The 12,310-nt window shown below is 39.4% G+C and overlaps 1 long non-coding RNA gene and 1 pseudogene across 1 annotated transcript in view; one reads left to right on the top strand and one right to left on the bottom strand.

Annotated features, from left to right (window-relative positions):
• EIF3JP2 (EIF3J pseudogene 2) lies at positions 3,692 to 5,616 on the bottom strand (annotated as a pseudogene).
• LOC124909445 (uncharacterized) overlaps positions 5,578 to 12,310 on the top strand; it is a 33,494-nt gene continuing 26,761 nt past the window's right edge. The window contains exon 1 of the long non-coding RNA XR_007096126.1: positions 5,578 to 5,628. This is a non-coding gene — a long non-coding RNA (uncharacterized LOC124909445). The remainder of the gene's footprint in view (positions 5,629 to 12,310) is intronic.

The following is a 12,310-nucleotide window of genomic DNA, read 5'->3' as shown; positions in this document are numbered from 1 at the left end:
AAACATCTGCTTCTTGTAGACCCAGTATGGGTCATTGATCTCAGACTACTGCCTTGATTGCCAGTGCATTGGGGTTGGAATTTAGGTTTAAGGTGAATAGTATCTAGTTCTCTCCTTTTATTTTTCCCATGGGCTTTTCCCCTGTAACAAAGCCCCAGCATTGGCAATCTTGAGTGCAGGAGTGGTTGGGTGGGTAATGGGTCCACAGCCTCAGTTACTCTGACAACTTGGCATAAACGCAAACCAACCCAGTCTGTTCTGAACCAACCCCCTTTGATCCCTTCCAGTTAGTTAGCTGCCTGCTTCTAGCTCCAGCCCTATGATGAAGCGAAACATTGATGAGAAACATTATCTCCACTATTATATTAAGGGCTTCTTCAATCAAGCTAGCTGTTCGCTTTTCTCTTTAGGCAGCCCAATCAGAGGTTAGCTCTAACCAGGGTAGAGTGGGAATCAGCCCAAAGTATGGCAAAGATCTGATTTACTGTTCAAGCTCCTCTGGAATCAAGGCAGAAAGTTACAGTAGCCTTAAAAGATCTGATTTATTGTTCAAGCTCCTCTGGAGGCTTATGTAGACTCCCTTTCTTTCCTGTAGGCATCTGGATTTAGGAACCTCTGCTTTTTTCCCTATCCCCCACGCCTGTGTGTACATGGCACGCCCTAGCCTGGACACCACTTCACCGTGACTTCCGTCGTTTGCCACATCAGAGCTCAGTGTGCCATGCTCCCAGTTAAGGCTTCCTCTGACCTTGGTAATGGCTCAGCCAGCCCTAGGAACAGCTTGCTTTGTTTGTGCTGCTTCTTTGAGCCACATGACTGATTTGTCATTCAAGGTGCAGGTGCTCTGCTTACCAGCCTTAAAATCTGCCAATCCTTCCCAGCCCTGATCACTGGAAATCTACGTTAAAACAGCTGAGTCCTTTCCCATCTGAGCTCCATGACTGTCCCTTGACTTTGAAAGACACCTGCTCTCTCCTGGCACCCCAGGATTCTGGCAGCTGAAATTCCCTAAACCAGCCCCCTGTCTTTTCCAATCCTACACACTCCTCTTAGGTGAACCCCCAGCCTCAGTGAGCATATCCTGCTTTCCTCCCAGGCCTTTTCTGTTTTCCCTCATAAAAGCCACAACATCTCATTAAAACCTCATGGTCTACTTTCTTCTCCCATATTGCTATCCTGAAGCTGCCAGGTAGCCTGCTAAAGAAAAACATTTCACCCCTTCCACTTTACATCTAATGTCCAAGTAGTAGTCTTTCCTTTTGCCATTAACATATTTTCAAATCCAGTTTTATTTTTTTCACATGCAACCCACTGCTTAGGGATGCCCCAGCAGTCTACAAAGTGCAAGCTCCAGTCATGAAAGTGGGCTCTTGTGATAGAACTCCAGGGGATAGGCTAGCAGGAAGGGTGGCAGGAACGCATTTGAAAGGACTGAGGCATTGGGACAGGAGGCAGAAGACAATGTCCATGGAGGACATTAGGCCTGTGCCTAATGCCTGTGACCAGGGCCAGGATTAGAATCATCCGACTAGACCAGTGACCCCACTCCTGAACCTTCTCTGTCTGGTGCTCTCTGGGTAGACTAGAAATATCCTCAGACTTGTAGTGAACAGCTGTTTGACCTTCTTCTGGTGTCCCACCTCCCTTCTCCCATAATAGTGAAGATGTAAGAATCAAGGCAGAAAGTTACAGTAGCCTTGAAAATAGCCTGCCACAAAAGGCTGCCAGCCCCAAATGACACGAAACCATTTTCCAACATGGTTGTCAGTCAGCATTTACATAGCACTCCACATTTACAGACTGGGGAGCCGAGGGCAGTTAGTCATTCATATCAGCACAGAGAACAAGATGAGGGCTATGGGTCCTGTTTACAATTCTTCTTAAGATCCTGATTCACTGCCTGAATGAAGAAACCCCAACCCCATCTCCTTCAGGTGGAGGCCTCCTGCACAAGGGCAGGCTGAACCCCAAACTTGACATTGGCCCCTCCTGAGCTCTCAGCCCACAGCCAACAGCTTTCTTTTCACAGAACACTCTAGGTCCCCTCTCCTGTCATGAGCCCTAGCAGAGACAACCAATAAATCAAACCCTAAACAGGTGAGGATGCCAAGCTCTCTTGAACATTCACAGATCAATGCAATTATGAGCATCTTTGTACTTCCAACTGACTGCTTCATTATTAATGTGAAATTAAACCCATTCTGAGCGCTTACAATCTGATAAGTGTTCTATAATTGTTTTTACTGATATTGCCCTGATACTGAACACCTGGGAACAGATATAATAAACACAGGAGGTTGCAAATCTTAGCCATGATTACTTTCAAGCTGGAAAAGTACGGATCTGGATGTGGCTTTGCCAGATGCTTGAGCCACTCAAATTCTCTCAGCCTCAACTTTTGCATCAGTAAAACAGGGGTAATTATGCCTTCCACCTAGGGTTGTTGTGAAGACAATGAGGTAAGATTTGTAAAAGGCCTAACATAACATTTGAAAATATAGCACATCCTCAATAAATAGTAGTTAGTATTAATGTGCTACATTACGATGGAAGTACAGGATAATCAGAAGATACAGATAAACAGAGCAACTCTTAAAAGCTCTCTTTTTCTTCCTTTATACATTTAACAGTATTCACGGAGCACCTACACTGTACCAGACATCATTCTAGAAGCAGAAAATACAGCAGAGAACAAGACAGGTAAAGCCCCAGCTATCCTGAAGGTTACCTGTGAATGGCATGAAAATAATAGAGAAATAATAGTTAATAAAGATGATAATTTCAGATATCCATAAATGTTGAGAAGAAAATTAAACAGAGTGATATGATAGACAGTGATTGCTGGATTTTAGAAAGAACCTCTATAAAGGATCATAATTGAGGTAATACTTGCCAGGAGAAGCCGTAGGAGTAGAGAGGGGGCCAGGTAGAGGAAACAAGTGCCCAAGCCTGAGGTGGGACCAAGCCTGGCTGGTCAGGAGAACTGAATGAGGACAAGGGTGTCTGGGGCGGTGAGAGAGAGATGGGACGAGATGAAGTTGAAGGTCTAGGCAGGGGATCTGAATTCCTATCCCAGCTCTGCTACTAGCAAGCTGTTGGGCTTTAAATAAAGATTTTAAACTCTTGAAATCTCTCAGTTTTGCCATCTGAAAAATGAGGGGAAGGGGTTACCCTTGATCATTGTTAAGGTCCTTTCAACTCTGACTGTAATATAGACCAAAAGCACTATTACTCTTCCTATGGTGACAATACTGCAGTCAAATATGACTCTCTTACAGATTGTCTAGTCTTGTTTGCAAGTGTCTATATTGATCTTTAGGCAAGAGTTACCTGTAAAATTAATCAGGCACCATGATGTAAAATCCTTTATTCTGCTTATGTCGAAGTATCTTTTGGATTAGTAATGGCCAAAACATCAGCTGGCCATAGACAGTTTTTGGTTCCTGGTGGCAAAATACTAGCAGCTCACATATGGTCCCAGGAACCTAGTTTTTAAAGTTTATTTTAATCGTTCTGTATTGTGTCTTGACCTTTTTTCAAGCAACTAAAGAGCATGTATCAAGTCATACAACTGAGTCTGGGAAAACTTTAAGAAACTTTCTATTTTGTTTGATAGCAGCAACTTGCATAGTAGGTTATTCTGAACAGTTAAAACGTGTTAAAACTCTGTTTGTAAATCATTATCATCTTTTTTTAGTCCTCAAAATAGTGATTTTATTAAATTAGTTGCTTTATAAAACATTGCAGATGTCATAATTGTTAACATAACAATTTACCAAACTGCAGTTAACTGGTGCAATGTGCTGAGCACGTTTTATAAAGGAAAGGAAATGCCAAAATCCTGGTAAAGTTGTTCCATTGTGGCCTAAAAGAACAAAGATTTGTTTCTCAGACACTTAAATCAGGCAGATAAAAACAAGTAAAGAGTTTCCCTCCCCAATCTGAAGCACTTCATCAGTAGAAATAGCCTGATAAATTACTAGACAGCCTGCACTCAAGAGATTCCACAACATGTAATGCAATAATGGAGAGGTTTACCTCCTTTAGCTTCAAAGTTGGAGGGTTTTGGCCATTTTAATTTTATATCAAACTAGTGCTATAGTTTGATATAAAAACTATAGAGTGAAGATATCAGCCACAGTATCTTCACTCTGAGATAAGCAGTCTTCTTCACAATGTATTTTTAATATCCTTACGTTCAATTTTAAGACAAAGCAATTTTAATACTAGGTGCACATCACATGCCCTTGCTGCAAGCTGGTTTTCTTGACAAGTTATGAAGTAGTTCAAGGAGGTATGGTTAAGACTGTATTACTGAATGGTGCTGGTAAATACTACACAATTTTTTTTGTCATGTTGCAACCTTTTATTTCCAATTCAGTGACTGCTGCTATGAAATCAGACAGCAACAATGACAACATTATTAGGTTCGTTTTGAACTATGATTTAGTAGCCACTGAGGTTCCCAATTTTAACCCCTTGGCAGCAAGATCCAAGTTCCCTCATTTGCACATTAGCACCTAAGTGTTGAGGGGTTAAATAACCAGCACAAAAGATACTACTGCACTTCTAATTGTAGCATTTGGCAGAACTGAAAGGAAAGGAAGTTGTACTACATGTTCAAGGGATTGTGGGCAACACAAAGATGACACCAGGACGGGAGGCTGAGGCAGAGAATTGCTTGAACCCGGGAGGCGGAGGTTGCAGTGAGCCGAGATCACGCCACTGCACTCCAGCCTGGGAGACAGAGCGAGACTCCGTCTCAAAAAAAAAAAAAAAAAAAGACACCAGGAAAAGATAAAATGTCACATGAAGTCTTCATAGTCTTGTACATATACCTCCATCATAACCACCATAATCTGCCAGATCATCTTTCATGGTGGCTTTTATCCCTCTCCAGGAACCACACCTTTCTTCTTCTTTTTGGTTTTTCTTGCTTCTGTTTTTACGGCAAAGTACAGTCAGTGAATTGGTAATCTTTTTCAAGTTATCAATTTCCAATGAAATACACACATCTCGAACTAAGATTTCCAAAAAAAAAAAGACATCATATAGTGACTTTTCATTTTGTGTAATTTTATCTTTTAGTAACTTTCCAAACTCTGTAAAATCATCTCTTGAAGATGGGTTCATAGCATCTATTCCATAAACTGTACTATTAACACCAAAAGTTTCCTTTGCTAATTCGAGGTCTGACTCTTCCTGTAATTTATTTAGCCCCAGTTTATCTGCTAATTGTTCTTCTGGTGTTAGCACTTTAGGTTCTTCAGGTTCTTTTAACCTCTTTTTAATTTCTTCTTGCTTTTCTTCTGTTGCCGTTCTTTCTCTTTTATCTTCTCTGCTGTTTTTTTCTTTTCTGAACTTTTTACCTCCGGTTTTACTTCTGCTTCTTCTTTTTTTAAGTCTTGATCGTCATCCCAGTTATCGTTGACGCCCTCGTCTTAGTCCTCGCCTTCCCAGCGCTCCCCGCCAGCAGTGCCGCCGCCCCACACCTTCTGCACTGGGTCTTCCACGGAGAATGCATCCGCGTCTCAAGAGTCGGAGTCCCCCGCCGCCGCCGCCGCCATCTTGAGGAGGGTGTGAGCGTGTATTGAGGGGGAGAGCTAGCGAAGAGTTAGCGCGGCGAAGGTGAGTCACTGGGTTTGCTCAATCTTTATCATCTTAAATGTTCAAGCAACTCTGACTGTAGTGCACGCCTTTTCTCTAGGGATTTAATATGCAGTAGTTGACCACCAGAGCAAATGTACATTTAGGAAAATGACAATTATCCACCGTGGTCAACAGTGACGTAGATAATTTAAAGTCACCCAGTGTGAGAACTGAGTGAAATTCTAAGCCATCAGGTCAAGAAGGTAGGTGCTTATTCTGAAATGGCTCTAGTATAACAGATTTGCACCCAAACTATTCTGGTCAAATGAGTAACTAACTCTCCTGCTTTGTTTTTTAAGTACTTATAACTTCTTGGGTAGACCATTCCAGAACTTAAAAAACAACTTTCCAGTTCTTTCTTATTTCTAACCTAAGTCCTTTACATTGCTTTCTAGGTTATTTCCTCTAATTCTGTCATATATGGAGAAGGGTAAACTGGTGGTTACCCTCAGCGCATTACACTTTTTGATATGGTTTGGCTCTGTACTCCCACCCAAATCTCATGTTGAGTTGTAATCCCCAGCGTTGGAGGTGGGGTGTGATGGGAGGTGATTGGATTATGGGGATGGTTTCCAATGGTTTACCACCATTCCCTTAGTGCTGTCTCATGATAGAGTTTTCAGGAGATCTGGTTGTTTAAAAGTGTGTAGCGCCTCCCACTTCACTTTCTCCCTCTTTCTCCGGCTATGCTTGTGTCTGCTTCCCCTTCAGCTTCCGCCGTGATTGTAAGTTTCCTGAGGCCTAACAGCCATGCTTCTTTTACAACCTGTGGAATTGTGAGTCAATTAAACCTCTTACCTTTATAAACTACCTAGTCTCAGGTAGTTCTTCAAAGCAATGAGAGAACGGACTACTACACTTTTAAAATAAATAACAATGACAAGCAACACACATAGTGTTTACTAATCTAGGTTCTTTACAGATTACCATTTAATTCTCACAACAATTCCATCAGATAGATAACTGTTTTAATACCACTTTACAGGTGGGATAACTGAGGCACAGAAGCTAAACACCAGCTAGTGAAAGACACAGCTGGGATCTGAGCCCATGCCCCTGTCTCCAGGATCTTTGCTTCAGTCACTGCACCATTTTGCCCCTCCCATAAGCAAATTCTCCATCTGGGTTGCTATTCACTAATCCCTCTCTTTTTCTGTTTGTTTGTTTAAGTGATTCATGAAGAGACACCAAAAACCTTTCTCTTTTTTCTTTCATTATTTTATAAATAAATGTACTTCTTTTCCTTCTTCCTGAAAATAAAAACCTACGACCAATGCTTTATCTGAAAAAGAGTCTTTGACAGGTTATTGCAGAAAGGGTCTTTCATTTATTCATGCTGCCCTCATTAATAGAGAAAAAGTCTTGCTGGGCCAAATTAAGTCAACGTGTTCCCCATTCACCATCTAATTATTTTAAAAAGCACAATCCAGCACCAGAATTAAAGCAGGAATTCTACCCATCTTTTGTGAGAGCACAAGAGGCCACGAGATGAACCGCATAGCTAAGACTGGTGACGAGGACTGGAGAACCCAGGAGATAATGTTATTCAAGTTTATGTGGAGGCTTTCGTGGCACTCTGGTTTTTCTGCATCAGGAAAACTGCTGTAGGCAGAGAGATGGCAGCTCCATATCTATCTACCTACCTATGTATCTACGTGTCCATCTATGCACATATATGTACCACACACACCCACACAATTTCTTTTCATTTTCCTTATCTTAACCACTAAAATACTAAGTTTTTTGTGTACCCTTTCAAGTCCCCATCACAGATAGCAAAGAAAAGCCTACCCTTCTTATTGTCCACTTCCCAAGCAAATTCCCTAAAACAAACCAGAAACATAAAATAGAGGATGCACATAACTAAAAGATATAAAATATATACCACATAGGTATAAATAAAAAATTATAGGTATAGGTAAAATTATATATAAGGTATAAATAAAAATTATATATATGGACATTGTGTATATGTATATGTGTGTGTATAGGGTATTTCACACCACAAACTTAGTGGTATAAAATATATCACTTTATTTAGTCTCATGAGAACAAACTTTAACACATCTTATGAGGAAACAATCTCAGTCAAGGAGGGTTTCTCCTCCCTTCTAAGTTGCCGGAGAAGAGCTGTGTGCCCAGGCAGTGGGTGGAAGGGGGTGTCTGGTCTGGGTCATGATCTGTCCAAGTTGGTGAAGACTGAGGCATCCTTATTGCTGTCTGGTCTTTGATTGTTCACACACAGAGGCAGCAAGGCTCCAAGGGTTCAATGCTCTCAGAGCTGCAGCCCAGGGCACAAGCAGCTCCATGAGGTTGCCTGGGGCCCTGAACCCTGCTGCTCCAGAATGCACATGAAGATTCCAGGGGACTCTGGTTCTGGCTGCCACCCCTTTGAGGTTGGGTAGAGGGACAAGAGAGTAGATGCTCACCACGCTCAGATCCTCTCCTTTTACTTGGTATTTTTCTTACCCTGCTCCTTACCTCCTTCCCAGGGTTTTAGCCTAGGGGAGGGAGCAGCAATGTGGGACCGTTTCTCAGGTCACGCCAGAGTTTAGCTAACCTCCCTTTGCCTCCCCTCTAATTGTCTTCCTTTCCCTATGCCACTAACCTGTGAACCTTTGGAGGAATTAAGGGTCAAAGGGAAGGCTGTCTCCTTCTCATTAGGTCTTCTTTATGCCCTGAGCCCCTCAGCACCTATGCTTTTAAAAGGCATAGCCTTTTTTTCTGCTATAATAACTTGAAGCAAAGAGGTTGCATGCCTAAGTGATAGAGTGGGGCAAAGGAAAATGGAGTGCAGAGAGACAACAGTCTTTTCCTCCAATCACATGTACCCACCTGGCAGTATATAATATATGCCAACTGTGTGTATCTTAACATGATATATACATATATGTATTTAATACACAAGAATCATATTTACACATATAGGTATTACTCATGTGGTTTGGGGCTATGGATTGTGGCTTTTTTGGGGAGAAAAATTTATGGATGAATACTTCTATCCAATTCTTAAATATTTAAGTCATATGTTCTTAATTGTGGATCATAACAGAAAAAAATGGAGAACCAGAATATAAAAGATAATTATCTTATAGATAGATTGTAAGATGGATTATAATTATAATATATCAGATTATAGATAGATTTCTCATCACCATTTGCACGGAGAGAAAAGGGAGCAAGAATTTCTGACTCAGGAACTCTGTAACAATCAACTTACTGTAACCCCAGCCATGTCATTTAGCCTCATTAACAATCTCATTTTCATTATTAATGAGGATGAAAAATGTGCTCAAAATACAAGTATAAGATCACAGATTTCAAATAATAAAGCTGATTCAGCTGAAGATCGAAAATACCGGCTTATTCATAAGACGTTTTAGAGCACTATGCAGACAATAAAGAATTCTTAATCCTTGTACCAAATGCCATGATTCACGTTGTTTTCCTTTAGTATGAAATTACTTTCAATGTAAACTCTGACACACTGGGGAAAAAAATAGGTTCCTTAAGACCTTTCCATACAAAATGTAGGTAAAATAACTTGAAAAAGAAGTAAAACAATCTTAAGTTATATTGGTTACATCTTTAACTTATTGCTACTAGTTTAAGGCAAGAACTTAATCTTTATATCTAAACATGCAAAAGGAAATACCCCTTTGCTCCATGGTGAGGAGACAGGACAAAGCAGTTTTTTATTACCTGTGGTTGAGGAAATAGCTGTTTAAGAAAAAGATACTTCCATTCTTTTGGCTAGCCTGAATCTTGAGAGGACAATCCCTCTCTTCCAGTTGTTGGGCAGGCTGTTTTTGTTTCTTGATGGATAAACATATTTCCACTATTAACCCTAGGTGATAAGATTCAGAGTAAACAGTGTCTCAGGGATTACTTAGGAGGGACAATAGGCAGAGGCAGAATCTTGGGGGAAAGCCCTCAGGTATAAGGTTGTCAAATTTAGCAAGTAAAAATACAGAAAAACCGGTTAAATGTAAATTTCAGATAAAGAATATAAGTTCCCTATATTGCATGGGACCACCTTACCAAGGTGGAATTATGTGAACATAAGAAATGGCCACTGGGTGAGTGCCCAGCAGGAATATGGGCTCACCAACCAAGAGAGTAAACAAGTGTCCTCTGGGCATTCCAGCCTCAGAAGGTAACTTAGAATTCTACCAAATTCTACCAACAGTAGAAGCAATCTTCAGGGAGTACTAAAAATGTGTGTGGCAAACCGAAGCAGTGGTATTAGCACGAGCCTACCTTGGAATTAGCCTGAGCTGCTTGGTGCAACATTCAAGTGAGACCAAAGTAGGGCAGAAGAAGGAACAGGGGCCTGTGTACCCAGGGAGTGTCTGTCATGCCAATCTGTGCCTTGTCTCCAAGTTATCTTAGGACACAAATCTGCGCTCAGGAAGCTCATCTGTTTCTGTGCTTCTGTTTTTTCCCTTTTTTGGTCTTCTTGTGCTTTCCTCTCATTTCTCATTCAAATTTCTTTTTGAATATTCTAGCTTTTGTCTCTAAATAATTAACATCTAGGCCTTTAGTCTTGATCACCCTCACCAACCCATCCTCTTTGTGCCAACCAGAGGGCCTCTCTCCTTCTGTCTTTTAAAATCAGATTTATTGAGATATAATTTATATATAATAAAGCTCACCAATTTTATATGTATGATCTAGGAGTTTTGACAAATGTGTACAGTGATTTTTCTCAATGTTTTGAGTTTTCAGCATACAGATCTTTCATGTATTTTGTTATATAACTTATAAGTGTCATGATTTTTTAATGCTAATGTAAATAATATTTTCATTTTAATTTCTAATTATGTATTCATAGCATATAGAAATGGAATTGATTTTTTCATTTTGACATGTATCTTGCACAGGTGCTAATTCACTTTTTAGTTTGAGTCACTTTTTTTATAGGTGCATTGGCATTTTTTATGTAGACAATCATGACATCTATGAATAGAGACAGTTTTATTTCTTTCTTTCCAATGTGTATGCATGTAATTTCTTTTTCTTGCCTGATTGCACTAGCTAGGGTCTGTAGTACAACATTGAATAGAGGTGGTGAGAGCAGACAGCCTTGCCTTATACCTTATCTTAGAAGGAAAGTATTCAGTCTTCTGCCATTAAGAATGATGGTAGCTGTAGGTATGTAGGTAGTTGTAGTAAATGCTCCAAGTGCACTTGATAAGAATGCATATTCTGCTGTTGGGTGGAACATTCTGTAAATATCAATTAGGTCAAAAGAACTAAGATGGCCTTTATTGAGTTGATGACTTTCCCTTCTATTTCTAGTTTGCTGACAGTTTGTATTATGAGCCTCTGTTGATTTTTGTCAAATGTTTTTGCTGCATTTGTTGAAATGATCTTATGCTTTTTTTCCCCTCATCTGTTGATATGGTAAATTATATTGATTTTTAAACATTGAACCAGCCTTGCATTTCTTTTATAATTGGTCTTTTTATACCACTGGATTTCATTTGCTAGCATTTTGTTGAAGATGTTTGCGTGTAGGAAAATTGGTCTGTAGGAATATTGATCTGTAGTTTTCCTTTCTTGTAATGTCTTTAACCGGTTTTGGTATCACGATAATACTCATATTAAAAAATGAGTTGGGGAGTATCTTCTCCTCTTTTATTTTCTGGAATACACTACATAGAATTAGTCTTCTTTCTTTAGTGTTGGATAGAATTCAGCAGAATAGACAATTAGGGCTGGAGTATTCTTTGTTAGGTGGTTTGTAATCATGAACTCAATTTCTTTAATTGTTAACACTATTCAAATTATCTATTTCACATTGGACAAGCTGTGGTAGTTTGTGCTTTTCAAGGTATTGGTCTATTTCATTTAAGTTGTCAAACTTATGTGTGTAGAGTTTTTCATAGTATTCCCTTATCCTTTTGGTGTCTGCAGGGTATGTAGTGATATCTCCTGTTACATCCTTGATATTTGTGATTTGTTTCTTCTTTCTTTTTTCTTTTCATAGTATTCCCTTATTATCCTTTTGGTGTCTGCAGGGTACATAGTGATATCTCCTGTTACATCCTTGATATTTGTGATTTGTTTCTTCTTTCTTTTTTCTTTTTCAGGCTTGCTGGAGGATTGTCAAATTTTATTGATTTTTTTAAAAGAACTAGTTTTTGTTTCATTGATTTTCTCTATTGCTTTTCCATTTTAAATTTCATTGATTTCTGCTCTTTTCATATAGTGTCTTCTTTCTGCTTGCTTTGGATTTGATTTACTCTTTTTTTCTAGTTTCTTAAGCTGAAAGTTTAGAGGCATTTCTTCTTTCCTAATATTAGTCTTTGATTCTATAAATTTCTCTCTAAGCATTATTTTAGCTGATGCTGTGTTTTTATTTCATTAAACTAACCATATTTTCTAATTTATCTTGTGAATTTCTATTTGACTCGTGAGTTATTTAGCACTATGTTATTTAATTTCCAAATATTGGGAGATTTTCAGATATCTTTCTACTACTGAGTTCTAGTTTAATTGAGTTATGGACAAAGAACATATATTGTATGATTTCAATACTTTTACATTTTTAAAGGCTTGTTTTGTGGCCCAGAATATTATCTATATTAGTGAATGTTCCATGTACATGTGACAAGAATGTGTATTTTGCTGTTGAGTGGAATGTGCTATAAATATC

Source organism: Homo sapiens, chromosome 3, assembly GCF_000001405.40.
Source record: "Homo sapiens chromosome 3, GRCh38.p14 Primary Assembly".
Taxonomy (NCBI): domain Eukaryota; kingdom Metazoa; phylum Chordata; class Mammalia; order Primates; family Hominidae; genus Homo; species Homo sapiens.
This window is presented reverse-complemented; position numbering and strand designations above follow the sequence as displayed.